Consider the following 24,827-nt stretch of genomic DNA (forward strand, 5'->3'; position numbering starts at 1 on the left):
CCTTTCTCCTGCTGTATGTTTCTTTACAACACCTACCACCATCTACAGGACTGCTAAATAGGGGAGTGTGGATTGGGTCTGGGGTAGGGGAAGAGTGACAGGACGAAGTTTTCTTTTACACTCACCAAGTGCCCACAAACTGTGAACCAGCCATGTTTGCCATCAGGGAGGCCAAGTCTCTAATTTACACAAAAACAACAAATGGGCTGTCAGATACCCTGACCATCTACTACATTATATGTATCCTTGTCTGTCTGTTTTTATCTATCTCCCTGTACAGAAAAAAAAAAAAGTTAACCTAGCACTCCTAACTGCTGTCCTTCAAAAGGCCTGTTTACGAGGTTGGCCCTTGGCTGGCATCAGACAATTTGGAATTCCAGAGGGTTCCCATTTCCTGTTAAAAGTGACTCACTGTTCCAAACTGTTTGTACAATGTGGTTTATGCTGAACACTTGCTTTCCTACTGAGAGGCTAGAGTTTCCGTGCTAAGAAGAGGGTACCTATGTGACCAGCCCCCCAATGCCCTGGGCACTGATCTCTGATGAGCTTCCCTGGTACAGAACATTTCACATATATTTTTTGTTTTGTTTCTAGAGACAGTCTCACTCTGTCACCCAGGCTGTAGTGCAATGGCGCGATCTCAGCTCACTGCAACCTCCACCTCCTGGGTTCAAGTGATTCTCATGCCTCAGCCTCCCGAGTAGCTGGGATTACAGGCACCCACCATCATGCCCGGCTAATTTTTGTATTTTTAGTAGAGACGGGGTTTCACCATGTTGGCCAGGCTGGTCTTGAACTCCTGATCCAAGACAGGTGATCCACCCACCTCGGCCTCTCAAAGTGCTGGGATTACAGGTGTGAGCCACAGCATCTGGCCACATTTGACATGTTTTGTCACAATCCATTGCTGGAGGAATTAAGCCTGTCCTGTGTGACCACTGGGAGAGGACTCATGGATGCTTACACTTGGTTTCCTCTGGACTTCGCTCCATATGCCTTTTCCTTTTGCTGATCTAGTTTGGCATCCTTTCACCATAACAAATCATAGTGATGAGCACCACTGCCGTACTGAGTCCTGTGAGTCCTCCTAATGAATCATTGAACCTGGGAGTGGTCTTGGAAACTCCCAGCACACACCCCCAACTAGGGTGTCTGCTTCGTGAGGTCAGAGGCACACTCTGCTTTGCTCACTGCTGTCTCCTTCTATTAGACACCTCTTCTGCAGCCGGACACTTGGTCTGCTCCACTTGCTGTAGCAACCAGCTGTGTATGGCTTCTGCCTGGCTCCACGTGGCACAATCCAGCAGTCCTCCTCTGACAGCCACACCTGTATGACAGCAGACTCTGTGAGACCCTCTTGGTGCCCACACTGCCCAGAAGTACAGGCAAGTTGCACTTGGTGCAAGCCTTTGACCAACAGGAGATGGGAACCAGCCATGAGGGCTTCCTCTGTTCTCTCCCAAGTGGACTTTTTTCAGTCACATCTTTCCTACTTCTCCAGTGACAGCCTCATGAGACTGAGCAATCCATTGCACTTGATAACAAGCAGCGGCCATGCCAGTGACCCTAGGTAACACTCCCTAATAAAGTCATAGCACATGCGCTTTTGCCTCAGACTCCGCTTTCTAGGAATAGCATACTGAACCCAGAACAATGCCTGTCCCATCAGTGGGACTGAAGGAGTAGCTGTTGAAAGAATGAATACCTTAATTTAATGAATTCCTGGATCAGGAAAAGGGTTCTTTCTGGTAGCCTCTAGGTATTTCCTGTTCTGATGCAGTCTCCAGGTTGGGATGGGGTGGGACCAACAGAGGAACAGATATTTGTTTGCTATATCCTACTTCATACCAAATAAAGGAACCAAGGTGGCTTACAGAGATGAATATAGTAAAACAGATTTTTAAATAAGAAAATCAAAGCAAAAGGAAATAAGGTGAAAATACAAGATGAATTCACTTAAGCACATGAAAAGCATCCATAAAGCCTTGTAGGAGGTAGGTTGGAGAGCTGACTTAGAGATTCCCAGCACCGAAAGCAAAGAGGAAAATCTCGGCATTATTATAATGTCCCTCATTGTTCAAAGCATTAAATACAAACTAATCAGCAGAATAAAAGGTTTCGACTGGGTGTGGTGGCTCATGCCTGTAATCCTAGCACCTTGGGAGGCTGAGGCAGGAGGATCACTTGAGGCCAGGAATTAGAGACCAGCCTGGGCAAGATAAGGAGAACCTGTCTCATAAAAAAGGAAGGAGGGAAGGAGGGAAGGAAGGAAGGAAGGAGGGAAGGAAGGGAGGGAGGGAGGGAGGGGAGGGAGGGAGGGAGGGAAGGAAGGAAGGAAGAAGGAAGGAAGAAGGAAGGAAGAAGGAAGGAAGAAGGGAGGGAGGGAGGAAAGGAGGGAGGGAAGGAGGGAGGAAGGAAGGAAGGAAAGAAGGAGGGAGGGAGGGACGGAGGGAAGGGAAGAAGGAAGGAAGGAAGGAAGGAAGGAGGGCGGGAGGGAAGGGAAGAAGGAAGGAAGGAAGGAAATAATAGTTTTCCTTGGTGCAGGAACCTGAGAGAAATTACTCCCCAATAAAGGGGAAAGCATGAATGGTAATGGACAACACTTTCAATATATCCTACAACAAATACAAAGACCTATTTTTTGTCCCAGTTTCTTATAATGTCCTTCAATTATGGCCAATATGAAAACAATTCTACAAGGAGTCAGTAAAGTCTAAATGCATACCCTCTCTGATGTCTGGCTTGATCCAGGGACAAAATTGATAAGAAATAGGTAGTGATTCTTTACTACTTAGGAGTTGTGGGCCACTCTGAAAATCCAATTATAGAGGCATGTCAAAAACATGTCCTGAAAGAGATAACACATTTTCTGAATCCCAGTTCCAGTTCCCGGGAAGTCCTGCTGTATTGATATATATCCTGGCATTCCATTAGAGCGGAATAATAACAATAACAACAGTGACATTCATAATAAATGATAATAATAAGAGCAGCAACAACAAACACTTATTATATAGTGCTACATAACAGGTTTGTTTTTAAGCACCCGGATGAATTTTGGAAACTCCTCCCCGAGGCACACACTAATTTTTCTTGAGAAAGTTGTGCAGATTTTCTTTCCTTAGGCAATGAGTAGGCATTAAAAAGCCACGATAGGTTCTTTTTTTTTTTTTTTTTTTTTGAAGGTTTCAAATATACTTTATTTCTTCAATAATGTCATATCTTTTTTTTTTTTTTTTTTTTTTGAGACAGAGTCTCGCTCTGTCGCCCAGGCTGGAGTGCAGGGGTGCGATCTCGGCTCACTGCAAGCTCTGCCTCCTGGGTTCACGCCATTCTCCTGCCTCAGCCTCCCGAGAAGCTGGGACCACAGGCGCCCGCCACCACGCCCGGCTAATTCTTAATGGGCACACAGTGCTTTCACTTGGCATCAATCATGAGCTGTTTTTTAAACAATTCGGTATTACACCAGCTGGAATGATCACTGATCTATCCGTCCTTTTGGGGTGGCTCAGCTAACAGGGGATGGGTTCCATTCCATTTCGATTTGTGTTGCTACACTTGTCCATACAGCAGTACAGAAAGTGGCTCCACTAGCTAATACAGCATTACCATATCTGTCATGAAAATCAGGTGTACCTTTCTGGTGGCTCTGCCTTGCCATTGTTTGCTGAATGCTTCGAACTTGGAGACGACTTGAGTGTGTTTTTGACCAAGAGAAACATCGTGAAGGTGAAGATAGAACTGCAGCAACGCAGCTGCTGCTTTGGTGCAAATTCGCTTCGGGTACCCTTGAAGAGCGCTGGAAAAAAAAACCCATGGTAGGCTCCTTTAAGAAGTGGAATGAGACAAAGAAACCCTTTTTCAGGAGACTCTGTCTCCTGCAAAGCTAAGCAAGCTGATATGGAAGAGACGAGAGGCAGGAAGACCTGTGGAGCAGGGGTTACAGCAACCTTGGCACCAAGTTATGCAGACAGGAGATTAAAATACATATATATAGTGTGTATGTATATACACATATATGCATATATGTATATATACACACCACATATATACGTGTATATACACGTATATATGTGTATATACATATATATGTATACATATGATTATACACATATATACGTATATATATGATTATACACATATATACATATATGATTATACGTATATATACGTGTATATGATATGTATACACGTATATATACGTATATACACGTATATATACACATGTATACGCATATATACACATGTATACGTATATATACACATGTATACGTATACACATATATACGTGTATACGTATATATACACATATATACGTATATGGGTATATATATACACACATATACGTATATGTGTATATATACACATACATATGGATATATATACATATATGTAGATATATATACATATATACACATATGTAGGTATATATACATATATACACATATGTGTATATACACATACACACATATATGTATATATGTGTATATACGTACATATGTGTGTATATATACGTATATATGTACATGTATATATGTGTATATATACATATATGTATGTATATATGTGGTGTATATATATACACATATATATATACACACACACACACATACAGAAGCATTAAGAACATCTGATAATTTGATGAAAGGAGCTGTGGAGAGGGAAGTTAAATATAGATGTCCTTGCATACATTGCTTTCTTCTGGGCTTCGGTCTCCCCATTTGTAATACAAAGGACTCAGTCTCTGATTCTCTAATAATACGAGCTAGCACTTGGGAGCAGAGGCAGTGCCATAGTGAGTGATGTTATTATGTGTTGATTGATTTAAATTGCTGGCCTTGAGGTGCTACAAGAGCCTTCTGAACACAAGTGAAAGATTAAATTACAGTCACTCCAGCTTTGTGGCTGAGTGTCTTTTCTTTTTTCATCAAGAAGTTCTAGGGACCAGGCGCAGTGGCTCATGCCTGTAATCCCATCACTTTGGGAGGCCGAGGTGGGTGGATCATGAGGTCAGGAGATCGAGACCATCCTGGCTAACATGGTGAAACCCGTCTCTACTAAAAATACAAAAAAAAAAAAAATTAGCCAGGCGAGGTGGTGGGCGCCTGTAGTGCCAGCTATTCAGGAGGCTGAGGCAGGAGAATGGCATGAACCCAGGGGGTGGAGCCTGCAGTGAGCGGAGATCGCGCCACTGCACTCCAGACTGGGCGACAGAGCAAGACTCCATCTCAAAAAAAAAAAAAAAAAAAAAAAGTAGTAATAGTTCTAGAAAGGCTATCATGTGCAGTACCCTGAGCTGGGTACTCTGAAATAAAGATGCACCCCTGGCCTGGAAGAGCATCCAGCTGCAGCCCCTACCCATGGGGAAGAGCAACGCCTTCCAGGTGCTCAGAGCCTAGCCTAGGAGACAAATACACAAAGAACCAGTGGATACCCGACATGGGTGAGCTGCCTGAGCTTGTACCTGGGCTCTGCGGGCTCAGAAGAGGGTCTGATGGATTCTAATGCTGCTGCTTAGAAACAGGTTCTTGTTCATTGGAAAACAGGAAAAGCCGTGAAGATGAATTCGTTCTCTTGAAAACAAGTTAAATCTTGAAACCTTATTACATGGGGAGAAATGTCACAGGGATTTGAACGCCGTTAAAAAATAATCAGGGCTCTTAAGCACATTTGGCTTTTTTATTGCCTATGTTCCAGCAACCACAAACTTCTGTCAAAAAATAAATAAATAGCCAAATGCCAATGTCAACTTTGAGAGATGGCCTGGTGGGGCAGGAAGAAAAAAGGACAGGGACTTCGTCTAGTCTGTCCTAGGCAAGTTATAACAGCTCCTTGGATTTTAATTTCCTTGTGCATAAAATATCTGTAACTATTTATGCCCCACTTCTCTCATAAGCTTCACAACTACCATTTATTGAACACCTATGATGAGGCAGATACTGTACTAGGAAGTATGCATGTATTTATCATCTCGATTCATCTCTGCAGTGTCAGAGCAAGGACAGGTGGTCATTATTCCGCTGTGGCCAAGGCCACAGAGGGTTGATGTAACTTTCTTAAGTTCAAAAGCTGCGTGGGGTGGAGCTATGTTCTGAAGCACAGCTGTCTTGCTTCAAAATCTGTGCAACTGGAGCCATCTTTGGGAGTCTGGAACTCCAAGAAAATAAACCTGGTGAATCCACCCTAATTGTGAAGAACCTTGACCACAGGGCTGAGAAACATGCTTGAAGCATGTCCTCTCCTGACCTCGGCAACTCTGCAGATGATACTAAGGATCCAAGTGTCCAAAGAAAGACATAGTTTCTGGCCAGGTGCAGTGGTTCACACCTGTAATCCCAGCACTTTGGGAGGTTGAAGCAGAGGATAGTTTGAAACCAGGAGTCAAGACCAGCCTGGATTCCACCTCTACAAAAAGTGAAAGAAAAAAAAAATTAGCCAGGTATGGTGGCACATGCCTGTAGTCCCAGCTATTTGGGAGGCTGAGGCAAGAGGATCCCTTGAGCCTAGGAGGTGAAGGCTGAAGTGAGCTATGATCATGCCACTATACTCAAGCCTAAGTGACAGAACAAGACCCTGTCTCAAAGGGGAAAAAAAAGACATAGGTTCTTAGCACTTGCAACCAAGTCAGCAGGTGCCTGTGAAGTCACAAGTGGATGGAGTTGGATGTTACCTCCCACCTCCACCGCCCTCCCTCCTGCCTCAACCCCCTCTAATGGGAAGGGGCTGTGCTTTCCAGTCCAACCCCCACCTCCACAGAACCAAGCATGCAGGCAGACCCACAAAGGAATCCTGAATTAGCTCGACCTGCCTCCCAGCTGCTGGATGAGCCTAATTAGACCAAATTAATAATTTATTCAAGCAAAATGAGACATGCCAAGACTCTCCAGGGAGGCTGTAAAATGATAATGCCTTCTTATTAGGGAAATGTGTCAACACCCCATGCAAACTCTGGGTCTGGGATAGAAGCAGGAGGCTTGACTTGATTCACCTTGTGAGGACAGCTCCTGGGTCCTTCCACCTGCATCTCCCCATGTGTGGTATCTCCTGTCTCATTACGCACTCCTCCTCCTTCTTCATACCCCTTCCTTCTCCTCTTCTTCCTTCCCCGGTAATTCTCCCCCTCCTTCTGCTCCTCCACCTCTCTTCCTCCTCCTTCTCCTCCCTCTCCCCCTTCTTCACCCTGACACCTCATTAACCTAAACTTTCAAATCATTCTCCCCACCAGAAAGGAAAGCCGGATGACAAGCTAATATTTCCATGTCACACACTGAGTGATTCTTACATAAAAATTAACAGGCACTTGACAAAGTCATAATTACTAACTAATGATGCATTATGCAATTTCCATAATTAGTCATGTTATTGATATTTCCTCCCAACCACAGAGATGGGGGGGGCACCTTTATTTATAGCTAGAGAAATGGCTAATCTGTGTGCAGGTTGTTGAGAGAGAATCTATAGAAAACAGTTCCCTTCTCACACACACCCAGACCCAGCACCTGCCCTCCAGTCCCCTCTGGAGCTGGTTTCTGTCTTCAGAGCAACAGGAACAAACTGATTAATCATGAGCAAGGATTAATCGAAGACATTGAAACATAGCACTGGGGCAAAGTTTTCAAGTATCCCAGCCATGTGAGGCATACCACAAAAGCAGATGTGGAAACTGAAAACTTTCATAGAACTTTGCAAACAGCCTCCTTCACCCCTCATCTCACAGCAATCCTCCTGAAGCCCGCATCTATTAATCCATTTTTCAGGTGAGAAAACTAAGGCTTGCAGAAGTGAAACAATGTGCCCAAGTGCACAGTGGGCATGCGCAAAGCTGGGATACAAATGCATATCTTCCAGTTAAAAGCCTGGGAGGCAGTGCTGTACGGTGGATTCAGATAGCAAGTTCAAACACTCCCTCCCAGCAGCTCTGCTGTCTTAGGCAAATTACCAACTTCTCTCAGCCCTGGTTTCCTCCTCCTTAAAATGAAAAATAAAAAAAGCAAAAACAAAAACCATATTACAGAGTGTTGTTATGATTAAATAAATCCCTCGCTATCACATAAGTGGTATTACATGTGACATTATGTGACCCTATATTACATTATATCACATGATGTTATGTTATATATCTTTTTGTTTCATTGTTCATTGCTTGTATTCCTCCCTAGACTATAATCCTGTGGGCAAGTACTTGGGTTGTTTGCTGTTGTATTTCCCTATCTGGAACAGTGTCTGGCACATATTAAGTGCTCCGAGAATGAAAGAATAAATGAAATGCTTAGTATGTTGCCTGGGCCATCATTGACACTCAGTAAAACAAGTCCCTTTCTCTCCCTGTTGCCACAGCCAGAAGCTTTGCCTGGCTGTGGTCAGGCTGGACAGGGCTTTGATCTCCCCAACATAAACTGGCCTAATTTGAGATGGGGAATCTCACAGGGACAAGACCAAGCCTCCAATCCAATCAGCCACTGTTTGTCTAATGACCATCGGCACGGAGATTGCTCTCTGGATGATCACACAAGCGGATGCTGCAGGCCCCTTGTCTTTGCTGCTTACCCACAAGGGGAGAGACTGCAGGTGAAGATCAAAAATAGAACCACCGGGCAGGGTGCAGTGGTTCACACCTGTAATCTCAGCACTTTGGGAGGCCAAGGCAGGTGGATGGCCTTGAGCTCAGGAATTTGAGACCAGCCTGGGCAACATGGCAAAACCCCATCTCTACAGAAAAAAAATATAAAAATTAGCTGGGCACGATTGCACATGCCTGTGGTCCCAGCTACTCGAGAGGCTGAGGCTGGAGAATTGCTGGAACCTGGGAGACAGAGGTTGCAGTGAGCTGAAATCGCAAAACTGCACTCCAGCCTGGGTGACAGAGTGAGACTCCGTCTCAGAAAAAAAAAAAAAAATAGCAATCACCACAACAGGTGTGCAAAGGGCTACGTGAACAGTAGAGATAGTGAGTGACCTGAGATGCTGGGGAGGGAGAGACAGGGACAGTTTGGTTTGATCTAGAAAGGTGTTATGCCACGCAGAGACAGTGAATTGGAGTTCCCAGAATGCGCCATATTTCTGCATCTCCACACGCTTGCACATGTTGCTCCTTCTAACTGGGATGCCCTTGTCCTCTTGTCCACCTGCTGAACAACTACTCAACCTTCAAGACTCAGCTCTGATGGAGCCTCCTTTAGAAAGAGTTCCTTGAGCCCTCTAAACACAGATAAGCACCTCCTGTTGATTTAACCTCTGATCACTCTATAGGAAGATGAATTATCCAAATATACACATGCAGGCACCTACTGTATGCAGAGCAGTCTGCTAAGCTTGGTGAAGAATATAATGACTGCCCTCAAAGAACTTACCAGAGTACTCTAGTTATGGGGTGGGGCAGGGGACACAAAACCTACTTTTCAGTGGAAAAACATTAGATTAAATCATATGAAATTGCCATTTTAGTAAGTGATATGGTTTGGCTGTGTCCCCACCCAAATCTCATCTTGAATTGTACTCCCATAATTCCCATGTGTTGTGGGAGGGACCCAGTGGGAGATAATTGAATCATGGGGCAGTTTCCCCCATACTCTTCTCTTGGTAGTGAGTAAGTCTCAGGAGATCTGATGGTTTTATCAGGGGTCTCCACTTTTGCGTCTTCTTCATGTTCTCTTTGCCTGCTGCTGCCATCCATGTAAGATGGGACTTGCTCCTCCTTGCCCTCCACCATGATTGTGAGGCTTCCCCAGTCACGTGGAACTGTAAGTCCAATTAAACCTCTTTCTTTGTAAATTGCTCCATCTCGGGTATGTCTTTATCATCAGCATGAAAACCGACTAACACAGTTAAGTCAAAATGGCTGAATATTGGTAATTCCATATGGTACAACCTAATAATTAACAATGCAAGCTTACCTATAAGCAACCTCATTTCCTAATATCTGCATAGCATTTTCACTTTGCAGGATGCTTTCATGCCCATGATCTCATGTGAGCCTCACACTCTCTCTGCGCCTTAGGCACTTTCATTTACTTATTTATTTATTTAGAGATGGGGTCTTGCTCTTGCCCAGGCTGGAATGCAGTGGCACAGTCATAACTCACTGCAGCCTCAACTTCCTGGGCTCAAGCAATCCTCCTGCCTCAGCCTCTTGAGTAGCTGGGACTACAGGCGTGCACCACCACACCCGGCTAAGCTTTAGACACTTTTGTTGTCCCCATTTTACAGAAGAGAAAACTGACGCACAGGGTCAGTGACTTCCCCAAGGTTCCTGCAGTTAGTAAAAGGCCAAGACAGAACTTGATCCCATATCATCTGAATCCTAATATGATGCTCATGTATATTGCTCAAGGTTAAACAGACCACTCATGCTGAAGGGGTTGGAGAAGGTATAGAAGGAGGAAATCAGAAAAATACAGGAAATTTCATAAAATTGAGAGTTGTGCAGGGATGGGAACTCATCAATCATTCATTTGGCCAATACTTATTATGCAACTACTAGGTGGTAGGCCCTAAGCTAGACACCAGAGAAACAGAGTTGATCTAAGAAAATAAGGTCCCTACCCCCACGGGGGGGCAGGGAAGACAACTGTAAGCAGGTAAATAAATGATAAGGTACTCTCAGAAAATCATTAAGTGCTATGAAGAAAATAAAACAGAATATGTAATGAAGAGTAGGGGATGGGTGAGTGAAGGAGGCCTGAGAGAGGTGAGCAGGGAAGGCCTCCTAGGCACGTTCCCTGTGTGCCGAAAAGAATGGGACCAAGCAGAGTTCTAAGGGAAGAGCATTTCAGGAGGGTAATTGATATGGTTTGGCTGTGTCCCCACCCAAATCTCCTCTTGAATTGTAGCTCTCACAATTCCCATACTTCGTGGGAGGAATCTGGTGGGAGGTCATTGAATCATGGGGGCGGGTCTTTCCCATGCTGTTCTCGCGATAGTGAATAAATCTCACAAGATCTGATGGTTTTTTAAAGGGGAGTTCCCCTGCACAAGCTCTCTCTTGTCTGCCACCATATAAAACATCCCTTCCTATTCTGCCATGAATGTGAGGCCTCCCTAGCCATGTGGAATTTTGAGACAAATAAACCTCTTTCCTTTATAAATTACCCAGTCTCTGGTATGTTTTATCAGCAGCGTGAGAACAGACTAATACAGTAGTCAATGCAAAAACCTTGAGGTTAGAATGAGTTTGGTGTCCAAGGTCAGAGACAAGGGCAGTGTGACTGAAGCAAGGGACAAAGAGGGAGTGGTATGAGATGAGGTCTCAGCTTGCATGAATCAAGTCAGAGAATACTTCCTGGGGAAAGTAAGCTGTAACCCAGACTGCAAAGGCAGAGTAGGATTTGGAGAGGGAGCAAGCAAAGAGGGAGAGAGCTCCACCACAAACATCATCTCTGATCTCTGGCTGGTCCACTGACTCAGCAGGGGCAGTGATCATCACCAACCACAGTTTCTTGATGAAGAAATTTCATCAGGATGAAGTGGTTGGATTTAGACTGCAGAACACACATTTCCAGGAGTTTCAATCATTGTCTTCATCTTCAATTAACTCACTGTTCATAGAAGAAGAATAAAGTTTGTGGCACTCCAAAGTGTTGAATCTGGAGCCTTGACCAATGGGTGGAAGCTTCAGAATAGCAAATTGGATGCAACAGATAGAGAAACAGGCAGAGCTGAACTCCAAGACAATGGGCTTATGCAGAAAGCAATGAGAGTCTCGGCCTTGGAGGCATGCCAGCCAAGGCCCGAGCAGCACCTAACAGGGATCTGAGAGAGAGCTGAGTGTCAGAGGAGGTTCCAAAAGGATGACTTTAACTACAGTGATCCTACATTGCAGTTCACCCAACAGTCCCTGTTATGCTTGTTGTCCCCATGTAGTTGTCATTACTGCTATTTCCTTCCTAGAAGGTCCCAGAATGGGAAATAAATGATACGGACCCCTAACTCTAAGGCCCCTCTCAACTCTGACACTCTGTGATTCTCTTTCCTATCATGTCGCCTCTCTCCAGCCTCTTCAGCTGTCATCCTACAGTATTTGCTTAAATATCCCTTCCACCAGGGGCCCTGTCCTCGGTCCTCTGAAACTGCTGGTTCCAACTGCCCAGCAGTCCTTCTGCTGTAATGCCAGCCTGAGTTTCCTTTGGGAAACCTGCTCTTCATTCTCTGGGAGTGGGCACGGGACTCCACCTGGCCAATCAGAGCATGCCGACCATCCTCCTGACCAGGTCATCAGTGTGGGGTTGATGATGCCACCTTGACAGTCTGCTGAGAACAAAGCTCACACAGGGGCAAACTGAGCAGAGGCATCGTGCTAAAGCCAATTTGAACAACAGGATGCACCCATGCCTGAAGCCAACCCCAACCCCAGCTTGTCACTTACCTGAGCCGGTAACACCCCCTTTTGGTTAACCCAGTTGAGTGAGGTTTCTGTCATTTGCAGAGGAAAGACAATCTGGCCCCCACCCAGTCTAGGCCCCCTGCTGTGTGTCCTCAGAGCACCCTGCACTTTTCCTCTGAATAGTTATGTCATCCTTCATTCTAAATCCAGGCTGCACATCTGACTCCTACAAAAGCAGAAGTGCCATGAAAGCAGGAACATCTGCCTAAACCCTCCCAGTCCAGATGGGAGCATGGGCCACTTCTTCCCATCATGGGGGCCTCCACTCAAAAGTGACCTCCTTGGGGAAGCTGCCTCTGACCACCCTGTCTAAAACAGCTCCTCCAGTGATGCTCTTCTTCCCAGGCCACCGGCTTCTCTTCAGAGCACCTTTCCTGTCATTTTGCAACATGTCACTCTAGATTACCTCTCTGTTAACCTATTATCTTTCTCCCCACAATAACGTAACTGAAGTCACTGGCTCGTAGCAGGGACCTTGTTGTTTGATTTTCCACTGTCTGCACAATGCCTGGCATAGCCAGGGCTTCTGATAACCATGGTGAATGAATGAGCAGGAGTGAATGAAGGAATGAAGTGTCAGCATGGGAATTAGTTGAAATCATGAGTGGAACAAGCATAACAAAGTGCCTTGGTAAAACTGAAGGTTCAATAAGTGTGAGCTGCTCTTTCTATGGCTTCTACTGTAGTCATTCTTCCTGGGCGTTAACCACACTCCATCTCTGTGCCAGGCATGGTGAGTGACACAGTTAACACATTCAGGGCTATAGCTAAGACCTTTACACGTATTATTTCTTTTTTTTTTTTTTTTTTTTTTTTTTGAGACGGAGTCTCGCTCTGTCGCCCAGGCTGGAGTGCAGTGGCGCGATCTCGGTTCACTGCAAGCTCTGCCTCCCGGGTTCACGCCGTTCTCCTGCCTCAGCCTCCCGAGTAGCTGGGACTACAGGTGCCCACTACCACGCCCGGCTAATTTTTTTGTATTTTTAGTAGAGACGGGGCTTCACTGTGTTAGCCAGGATGGTCTTGATCTCCTGAACTCATGATCCGCCCACCTCAGCCTCCCAAAGTGCTAGGATTACAGGCGTGAGCTACTGCACCCGGCCACACGTATTATTTCACTTAAGCTTCCTAACAACCTTAGGAGGTAAGTATTATTACAATTCCTGGCTTACAGATGAGGAAACTAAGGCACAGAGAGGCAAAGTAACTTGCCCTGAGTCACACAGCTAAATGGCAGAGCCAGGGCTGGGATACAGGACACCTGGTACACCATCTGTCACTTAATCGCTAAATAGCCTTTGCATCATGCAGGTAAAAAAAAAGGCAGAGTCACTGCTCTCAGAGTAGACCAGATACATGAAATAGTGTGAGTGCCCTGCACATAAGTGCTTAATAAATTAATGCATCATTCATTGAATTGAGGGGAGGAAGATAGAGCCACTCTGGCCACAGAATTCAAACCTGCTTTGTTCCCTCACTGGTCAGCATAAATTTACCCTCATTCAAGCTAAGAGGTAATTTACACCGTAATTTCAGCTTCCTGCAACTTCAGAGGAATCGATGGAAAGGCAGCCTTACCTAAGATCTTTTCCTTTGAAAAGAGATGTGGGAAGAGGTGGGTGTGCAGGGAGGAGGCAGAAAGGAACTGTTGATTATATTCAAGATTATATTTGAAATAATTTATAAAGTGTCACATGGTAAATGGGCCTTTAAATGGAGCCTGATACTCCTTCAAACTGCCATTTCTCTCCTTTCCATTCATGAGAAGTGTTCTCGCCGCACTCTCTCCTCCCCCGACGTCTGAGCAGTGTACAGGCACATTTCAGAGGAGCCAAGAATTAAATCAAAATTACATTTCTCTCGCCGTCTCTTGGACGAGTGAAACGGTTCATTCTTATTGGCTCCTGGAGGCTCAGGGGGCCAGGGGAGGGTTGATAATATTGCTGTGTATTCATAGCCCACTGTTCAGCAAGGAGGGCCTGCAAGCATTATCTTGCAGCAGGCTGTGTTATTAACTGGTAACGAGCTTTCAGCCGTAAGTCACAGGCTGGAATGAGGCCCCTGAGGTGAGTGAGAACTGAAAGCTGCTTCTAAAAATGGCTAGATCAGGCCAGGCACAGTGGCTTATGCCTGTAATTCCAGCACTTTAGGAGTCCGAGGTGGGAAGATTCCTTCAGTCCAGGAGTTTGAGACCAGCCTAGGCAACAAAGCAAGACCCGATCTCAATTTTTTTTAAAAAAAAGAGAAATTAGCTGGGCATCGTGGTGCATGCCTGTAGTCCCAGCTACACAGGAGGATGGCTTGAGCTCATGAGTGTGAGGCTGCAGTGAGCTATGATCTTGCCACTGCACTCCAGCCTGGGCAACAGAGCAAGAGCTTGACTCTAAAAAGAATAAGAAAACAAAAGGGCACGCTCCCTCTCCTGTCTGAAGTTTCTCCTGTAAGATGGAGCTCACAAAGGGAAAGGCAGAGAGGCTCTATCAGTTAGGAATGCTTTCTGCTGCCAGTAACAGCACGTCTGACTAATATAAACAAGGAGCTCACAGGTCGATTCAGTAGCTCAGTGATGTCAGGGCAGCGTCCCGCCAATCCTCTTGGCCTTTCCCTCATGATTATTAGATGGCTGCTATAGCTCCAGACACCACACCCAAGTAGGATGAAAGGGAGGGAAGAGTAAAGACAAATCCACCCATCCCTTTTGCCAGTAAATCAAAAGCTTTCTCAGAAGCCCTACCCTCACCTCCCAGCAGACTTCCACTCACATCCCACTGGCCAAAATGGGGTCACATTAACATACCTAGCTGCACTCTAAATTAGTTATCAAATGAGAAAAGTGGGGAGAGGCTGCCACATTAGCCAGCTAACAGTGCAGGGGAGTGAAAAGAGCACTGACCCAGGAGGCAGACAGTTGGGCTCTTCTACCATCTAGGTCCACGATCCTAGTCTGAGTCTCAGTTTCCTCACCTGTTAAATGGGAAGCATTGAACCAGATAAACTATCTCTCTGACACTGAGTCAGTTTATGACTTCTACAGAAATACCCCGTGCTGACCTCATGGGGGCCTCCACTCAAGGGTGACCTCCTTGGAGAAGCTGCCTCTGACCACCCTGTCTAAAATAGCTCCTCCCCTGCTCCTTGCTCTGGAATTGGCAGCCCAGTTCATTGGTACCAAGTGGTAGGCTGGAGACTCTAGAGCCTAGTTTGAGAGGAAGGGAGTTAAGACCATAAGAGAGACTGGGGGATCAAGATTTCTCGGTTCTCTTTCCTTGTCCTAAGATTTTGGACATGTCCAGGATAGAGTCTTCCAATTGAAAGTTATGTAACCTGAAATAATAGTAATAACAATGATGCAAACTTTGAATGAAACTTCACTATGCACCAGACACTATGCAAGAGCTTCACAAGCATAATCTTCTCAGATTCTAACAATCCCACAATGTAGTTGTTATCAATACACCCATTCCATAGATGGGTAAACTGATGCTCCACATCATGCCCTCGCCTGACTTCACACAGCTAGGAAGTGGAGGAGCTGTGGTTCAGCTCAGGTTCTTACCAACAGCCCAGGTTCTTAACAGAACATTTTATCCTCTACCCATTCCAGAAACTCTACCATTATCCTGCTTACCCTTATTCCCATCACAACCCTTGAAGGTTGTCTTAGTCCTTTCAGGGTACTCTAATAAAATACCTTAAACTGGGTAATTTATAAACAACAGAAATGTATTGCTCATAGTTCTGCAGGCTGGGAAGTCCAAGATCAAGGGACCAGCATATTCCATGTCTGGTGAGGGCCCATTCTTAGATGGCAACTCCTACATCCTCAAATGACAGAACGGCAAAGAGGGGCAAACAAGCTTTCTTGAGCCTCTTTTTTAAGGACACTAATCCCATTCACAAGGACCCTACCCTCATGATTCATTCACATCCGAAAGGCCCCACCTCTTAATACCACCATACTGGGGTTCAGGTTTCAATATATGAATTTTGGGGAGACGCAAACATCAGGCCATTGTATTCCACCCCTGGTCCCCAAAATTATGTCCTTCTCACGCTCTAAATATATTTCATCTCAATAGCCCCAAAAGTCTTACTTCTTTCCAGCATCAACTTTGAAGTCCAAAGTGTCATCTAATTATCTAAATCAGATCTGTGTGAGACTCAAGGTATAATTCATCCTGAGGCAAATATCTTTCCAGCTATGAGCCCACTAAATCAAACAAGTTGTGTGCTTCCAAAACCCAACGGTGGGACAAGCAAAGGACAGACATTCCCATTCCAAATAGGAGAAATAGGAAGGCAAAAAGGGATAATTTGTCCCATGTAAGTCCAAACCCCAACAGGACAAACAACATTAAGTCTTAGGGCTGCAGGAGGATCTTTGACTCCGTATCTTTGGAACATATTGGGGCAGGGGTTGAGCTCCCAAGGTTCCAAGTGGTCCTACCCCCCATGACTTTGCTGGGTACAGCTCATGCAGGAGCTCTTACAGATTGGAGTTGCAAGCCTATGGCTCTCCCAGACTGGAATCACTGGCCGGTGGCTCTACTGGTCTGGAGTCTCAGGGTCAGCCCCACCCCCAAGGTTCTGCTGGGCTTTGCCCTAGTGGCGATTCTCACAGGCATTGTTCTGCAGCGGTCTCTGCTTTGACCCTGAGCCTTTCTAGGGCATCCCTTGAAATCTAGGAGGAGGTAGCCATGCTGCCACAGCTTGTGCACTCTGTGTGGCAGCAGAGACGGCACTATGTGGACACTTACAAGGTTTACCACCTGAGCCCTTTGTAGAGAGGGACCAAGGCACACCTAAGGCTTCCAAGGAGTACTGCACCAGAAGGCAGGGAGCAGAGTCCTGAAATCATTCTGCCCCTAGGGCCCTAGCATTCTGGGCCTGAGATAGGTAGTGCAGCCCCAGAGATCTCCAAAATGTCTTCAGGGTCATTTTTTCCACAGTCTTGATGAACAGCACCTGGCTTCTTCTGAGCCATACTAATCTCCTATCAAATGACAGCCTTCGCCACACACTCCATGTTCTCTCCTGAACATGGCTTTTCATTCTTTACAATATGGTAAGGATAAGAATTTTCCAAATCTTTAAGTTCAGCTTCCCTTTTGATTATAAATTCCAAATTTAATATGTGTCTCTCTTCTTACATTTTACTGTTGGCAGTCAAGAGAAGCCATGCCACATCCTCGACACTTTGCTTAAAGATTAATTCTACCAAATATCCTATTTCATCACTGTATTAGTCCATTTTCACACTGCTATAAAAAAAAATACCCAGGCCGGGAGCAGTGGCTCATGCCTGTAATCCCAGCACTTTGGGGGCTGAGGCGGGCAGATCACGAGGTCAAGAGATGGAAACCCTCCTGGCCAACATGGTGAAATCTCATCTCTATTGAAAATACAAAAATTAGCTGGGCATGATGGTGTGTGCCTGTAGTCCCAGCTACTTGGGAGGCTGAAGCAGGAAAATCGCTTGAACCCGGGAGGCAGAGGTTGCAGTGAGCCAAGATCGCACCACTGCACTCCAGCCTAGAGGCAGAGCAAGACTCCATCTCAAAAAAAAAAAAAAAAAGAAAGAAAGAAAGAAAGAAATACCTGAGACTGGGTAATTTATAAAGGAAAGAGGTTTAATTGACTCCCAGTTCAGCATGGCTAGGGAGGCCTCACGAAACTTACAATCATGGCGGAAGGCAAAGGAAAAGCAAGGTGCATCTTACATGACAGCAGGCGAGAGAGAGAGAGTGTGTGCAGGGAAAAGCACCAGACACTTATCAAACAACCAGATGTCATGAGAACTCCCTCACTATCATGAGAACAGCATGGGGAAAACCACTCCCATGATCCAATCACCTCCCGCCGGGTCCTTCCCTCGACATGTGCAGATTACAATTCAAGATGCGATTTGGGTGGAGACACAGAGCCAAACCATATCACTCACTCAGATATTCTACCTGCCACAAAGCACTAGGACACATGCACAATTCAGTCTCATTCTTTGCCAGTGTATAACAAGGATGGCCTTTCCTCCATTTCCGATAGTATATTCCTCATTTCCATCTGAGACCTCATCATAATGCCCTTTACCATTCATGTTTTACCAGCACTCTGTTCACAACCTCTTCAGTAATCTCTAAAAAGAAGGCTTTCCCCACAGCTCTCCTTTTCTGAGCCCTCCCAAGAATCGCCCTTAATGTTGCATTCACAGTAATCTAGGCTTTTTCTAGCTTGCACCTCCACCTTCTTCTATCCTCTTCCCATTACCCAGTAGCAAAGCCACTTGCACATTTTTAGGTATTTGTTAAAGCAACGCTCCACTTCTCAATACCAATTTTGGTCTTAGTCTGTTCCTGCTGCTATAATAAACTACCATAGGCTGGGTAGTTTATAAACAACAGAAAGTTATTGCTCATAGTTCTGGATGCCAAGAAGTTCAGGATTAAGGCACCAGCAGATTCAGTGTCCAGTGAGGACCTGTTCCTCATAGATGGTGCCTTTTGTGTCAGCACATAACAGAAGGGTAAAAAGGGACAAACAAGATCACTTGAGCCTCTTTTATAAAGGCACTAATCCCATTCACGAGAGCTCCACCCTCATGACCTAGTCACCTCTGAAAGGCCTCAGCTCTTCATATCACCACATTGGGGTTTAGGTTTCAACCTCTGAATTTTGTAAGAAACACATTCAGGCCATAGCAGGGGTATGTATCATCCTCATCTTTTACAGAAAAGCAAGACTCAGAGACATTATGTGATTGATCTGAAGTAACTGCTACTAAGTGCTAGAGGCACTCAGCTAGAGGCCAAATTTGAATGGAGCACTCACTCAGAGCCATGCTCTTCCACAATACCATGCCATGCAGGAGTCTACCAGGGCAAGCGCCTCTGGGAGGCTCATCTTTGGAGCTACCCTATATAAACCCTTGCCAGCATGGCAGGTTCCAGAAAGCCAATCAATGCTGACCCTGCTTGTCCTTTCCTGCTAACTCTGGAATTTGTCAAGAAGAGCCTGGGGGGGCATACTGAGTGGGCTTTGCTCCTGTGGGGACTCCCAGGGGTGGCAGGATGGTCTTTGAAGAGCTGCATCATGACCAGAGGTTGACTAACACCATGATTCAACCTCTGCGGCAACCAGCTCTTCCAGGGCTCAAGACAACTGGTAATGGGGTATAAGAAGGGAGACTCTGAGCCCCACAGGTCCCCTCTGTGATTCTCAATTTCTACAGAAGCAGAAGGAAAATGGGATGATGGCCATAGCTTCCCAGATGACAAAACCCCAAAACACTGACTTGAGGACTTCTGGAAGCCTAACCCTTTGGGGTCATACCCAGTTCCAAGGTGGAAGGGACAGGGGCATTCCTTATGAGGATGTAGTATCACTCAGATGCCATCGAGAGTCAAGAGGAAGCCTCGGAGATCTGCCATGCTCTGTTGCCCCTCCAGGCTACACATTGCCATGAAGCAAAGAGGGGGCCCTGCAACAGTGCAGGCTCCTGGCAAGACCCCTACTCTTTTCTCCCTTGGCCCAACACCACCTCAGACTACCAACTGTCTGGAGACCCCTGGGAACAGTCTTGGGGGGACTGTTCCCATCATGCCCTCAATCCCTGTTTGTGTCAGCCCCAGTGAGCAGCCCAGGACCCCCAGGGTAGCTTCATCCTCTGGACTCATCTTCATTCAGTTTTACGGAGGGGAGAGGCCACCCCCAGGATCCCCTTCTTGACATTATTTTTCTCCACAGCACCCATCACCATCTGAAATTCTCTATGTCTTATTGATTTGTCCCTTTCTGCCTCCCATGTCATGAAAGTAGACTCCAGGAGGGAGAGACATCACTGCCTTATCCCAAACCCTTGGATGGTCCTGATACATAGTGGGACTTTGACAAGTATTTGCCACATAAATGAACTACTCAATGAATGATGAATGGCAAACTAATGGAAACCAAACTAAAAGTGGCTTTCTAGGTTGGATCAACCAGCAGCTCCATGCTGTGAGGTTTCTCTGTGGTTCTCCCGGCTTTCCCATCATGCTTGCGAGATGGCTGCCCCAACCCAAAGCACCGTGCCTTCATGTGACAATGCCCTAGGACAGGAAGGACAAGTCTCTGTCCTCTGCCCCTTTAGAGGGATGAAGAAAACCTGCCCAGTAGCCCACAGCAGCCTCGCTGGGCAGTTTGTTTCACCTGCCTGTGCCTCGACCCATCATTGGCCAAGAGAATGGAATTCTGTGTTCTGTTTATACCAATCAGCATTTCCTGCCCTTCCTCCAGTAAAGGAAGGGACCTGAAGCACCTGGGCACCCATCCCTTGAGCAAAGCCTGGATGCTCTAAGAAGAGAGGAGGTGGGAAGACACTGACTGTGGGGAGGCAGTGCTCCAAGTGTGCCATGAATGCCTTAATTTTAAGTGCAATCTTTTCCTTAAGAGGATGTTTGTGTCCCTCCAAAATCTCTTCCTTAAGAGCTTTATTTTTCTGTGCTTCTTTCTCTTCCCAGCATAAACCAGTCCAGCCAGCCTCAGCAGCTTTCTTTCCTTCCCCCAACTCATTATCGCAGCCCTGCACAAGGGCCAAGGAATCCACCTAACAAAGATAAAATGTCCTCAGCAGCTGGAAGGCAGCAAAGCTATGCAGTTTCACATGGTCAGCCATGAGTCAGAAGTTCCCAGAGCGTCTCCTGCCAAAGCTGCCTCTAGGAACACCTGGTGAGCAACTGCTGGCTCTGAGGAGAAGGGTCTGGAGGGCATGGTGAATGAGAAAACATATATAATCTTCCGCCACATTTCTGGTAGCTTCTTATAGTCTAAAAAGCAGTTTGCCTTAGATTTCATGTAATCCTTATAAGAAGCCCAAGAGGTGACCATTAGGTTCACCCCCATTTAACAGATGAGGAAATGAAGAATCAGAAAAATAAGAATGGGTTGTCCAAGGCTAGAGCCAGAGACCTAGAAGGACCCTGCCACTTGACCACTGCACACATGAATGCCTGCTTGAGTGTGCATGTGCACACCTGCATACATGAACAAATGCCTCCAACACATACACATGTTTCAACATTTCACACTGCCCCCAAGGCAAATACTACTTCTGAAACCATCCACAGAGGACCCTTCCCTGAATTTCCTTCTCAATTCCCCCAGCTGAGATGGCTGAACTGGATTGGAGGTGATTCCCTGACCAGGAATTCCACAAACCATTTTCAATGGTGGCATGAGATTAGTCCAGGGGCTCCACCAAAATACCAGGTCTTGGTTTCTTGCTGGGGTCCCAATCCATAGGGCTCTCCTCTTTCCACAATTCTGCCCCTGCTGTGAGTTCAGCCCCCATCAAAACAGACATGGAGTAAGAACAGAGCCTCAGCAGGGAGGACGTAAGTGCTTGAAACTCAGGGTGGTCCCTAGACTGGCAGCATCAGAATCACCTGGGAGCTTGTTAGAAATACAGAATCCCCGATCTTTTGAACCAGAATTTGCACTCTTATGAGATGCCCAGGGAATGCCCAAGAGACAGCAGCCTCCAGCCTTATTTTAGGATGCAACCTCCAGTTGCCCACACGCCTTGCCTGAACCTTCCCCGCTGCTGACTTGTGTAACTAGAGTATTGCCTACTTTCCAAGATAAATTCCTACCTGCATTCCACTTATGATAAATAGATACCTGTATTGTTCCCTGTGACTAAATGCTTTTGCAGGGGTTGGGAGGGCTGCCTACCAGCCCAGGCTGTCTGTGACCAGGAGCCTCAGTCTAAAATCCCACAATCTCATCAGAAAAGAAAGGATGCTGCTGTGGTGTGTAGATCATGGAGAGACTTTGAGATTAAAAAGACTTGAGTTTGAGTTTGCCTGGAGTAAAATGCAAACTTTCTATGTTCTACTTATGAAATGGAAACAATAAGCCTCCACTGCAGGACTCTATGAGATCACAGAAGAAAAAGGTGTTGGCCCAAGGTAGGTGTTCAATATATCTTAGTTCTTCTTCACTGACCCACCCATAGATGGCTGTGGCAAAGCTTCAGACAAACCTCTATAATCCTGACATCACAAATCAGTGATTATTCCCCAAATCGGTTAGGATGCTCTGGGCTACAGGTAACAGAAGACCCAACTAAAAGTGGCTTAGATGATGATATGGTCTGGTTCTGTGTCCCCACCCAAATCTCATCTTGAATTGTAATTCCCACATGTTGGGGGAGGGGCCTCGTGGGAGGTGATTGAATCATGGGGGTGGTTCCCCCATGCTGTTCTCATGACAGTGAGTGAGTTCTCACAAGATCTGATGATTTGGGGAGGGGCTTTTTCCCCCACTTCGCTCTACACTTCTCTCATTCTTCTCCTTCCTGCTGCCACATGAAAAAGGACGTGTTTGCTTCTCCTTCCACCATGATTGTAAGTTTCCTGAGGCCTCCCCAGCCATGCAGAACTGTGAATCAATTAACTCTCTTTTCTTTATAAATTACCCAGTCTCAAATATTTCTTCATAGCAGTGTGAGAACAAACTAATACAGATGATAAGAAATTTATCATCTCACGTAACAAGCTGCCCAAGGAAGTCCAAGGTTGGTTAACTCAGCAGTTCGACACCAGCTTCAAGGACTCAGGTACTTGCTTTCTTTCTGCTCTGTGAGTTTCAGCATGCCTCATGGGCATGAAAAGACTGCAGCACTTCCAGGCATCACATATTGCATCCAGCAAAAACAAGGGAGTTCCCTACAGCAGACTTCCTCTCAGTTCCATGGGCCAAGATTGGCCCACACATCCTTGCCTAAACCATTCACTAGCCTGGCCAATCTTGATCTCCTCCCTGAGGCTGAGAAAGGAACCAGCATCTACTAAAGCACACGGTTTCTCTGAAAAGGAAAATAAGGTAGGAGAAGCTGTTGGCTCCTCAGCCAACAGTGTCTGTCACAGGCCTGCTACCCAGGATGTGCCTTTCTGACTTTGCCTGCTGCACTAAAGCTGCTTCTGGGGCTGAGGGACCACACTCTCGATAAACCCATTCTTCCTATAACACTGGTTCTCAAACTCACCTGCACCTTGGAATTGCTTGGATATTTTTTTTTAATACTGATGCCTAGGTCTGTATCACAGAGATTCTGATAATTGGTCCAAAGTGAGGCCTAAGCCTGGGGATTAAATCTCCTCAGATGAGTTAATGTTTGAGAACCACTTGTCTAGATCAATGGTTCTCAACATTTAAGGCACCTCAGAGTCATCCAGAGTTCCTGACTCAGCAGGTCTGATGTAGAACCTGAGGGTTGCATTTCTAACAAGTTCCCAGGTAATCTGATGGTACTGACTTAGGGACCACACTTTGAGAACTGCTGGTCTGGATTAGTGCTTTATAAACTTCAATGTGCATATAAACCAATTTGGAGTATCTCATTAAAATGAACATGCTGGTCCCATAGGTCTGAATGGGGTCCAAGACTCTGCATTTCCAACAAGCTCCCAGGTGATACTTGTAACCCAAACTGTGTAGCAGGGTCTAGAACAGACAGGGGTCAACAAACTAGATCCCGCAGGCTAAACCCAGCCTATCGCCTATTTTGTAAATAAAGTTTTATTAGAACACAACCTCAGTCGCACATGGCGGCTCATGCCTGTAATCCTAGCACTCTGGGAGGCCGAGATGGGAGAATCCCTTGAGCCTAGAAGTTTGAGATCAGCCTGAGCAACATAACGAAACCCTGTCTCTACAGAAAATTAAAAAATTAGCCAGGCATGGTGGCACTTACCTGTGATCCCAGCTACTTGGGGGGCTGAGGTGGGAGGATTGCTTGAGCCTGAGAAGTCAAGGTTGCAATGAGCCACTGTACTCCAGCCTGGGCAACAGAGCAAGATCCTTGTCTCAAAAAAACAAACAAACACAATCTCACTCATTTATTTACACATTGTGGCTGTGTTCACAACAACAGCAGAGTTAAGTGATCACAACAGAGATTTCATTGCCTAAGCTGAAAATATCTCCTATCTGGTCCCTCACCAAGAAGATATTTGCTGACCTCTGTCTACAATGATCACAGGTTCTCAAATGTGGCTGTACATAGGAATCACCTACGGAGTTTTAATGTCTAGTTCCCACTCCTAGAGATGTCTGGTATCTGATGTCCGATGTCTGGTGTCTGGACCTTATTCCTAGAGACTCTGATGTAGCTGGTGTGGGATTCAGCTGGGGCATTGGAATTTTTATAAACTTCCCAAATGATCATGATGTGCATTTGAGACTTGCTGGTCTAGTAGACATCGCCCTAGCCCCTGCACCCGCACCTGTCCTTACATCCAGTGAAGACTTCACTTTAGCAGAGGCTCTGCTTCCAGATGTCTGCCTTTATCAGCTGCTCTAGGAAAACAAGACAGGCCCAGCCAGGACCTAAGACATGCCCCTCTCCAAAGGGGCATTTTGGAGATGTATCTTAGTCTATTCAGGCTGCTATAACAAACAGCCATAGACCAGG

General features: G+C 45.9%; 1 long non-coding RNA gene and 1 pseudogene across 1 annotated transcript in view; both read right to left on the reverse strand.

Annotated features, from left to right (window-relative positions):
• The window catches only part of LINC01399 (long intergenic non-protein coding RNA 1399), a 111,233-nt gene that overhangs the window by 71,397 nt on the left and 15,009 nt on the right, over positions 1–24,827 (reverse strand). The window contains exon 2 of the long non-coding RNA NR_126356.1: positions 3,637–3,799. This is a non-coding gene — a long non-coding RNA (long intergenic non-protein coding RNA 1399). The remainder of the gene's footprint in view (positions 1–3,636; positions 3,800–24,827) is intronic.
• On the reverse strand, positions 3,181–3,807 carry COX7BP1 (COX7B pseudogene 1; annotated as a pseudogene).

The sequence above is a fragment of the Homo sapiens genome, chromosome 22 (assembly GCF_000001405.40).
Source record: "Homo sapiens chromosome 22, GRCh38.p14 Primary Assembly".
In the NCBI taxonomy this organism is placed as follows: Eukaryota; Metazoa; Chordata; class Mammalia; order Primates; family Hominidae; genus Homo; species Homo sapiens.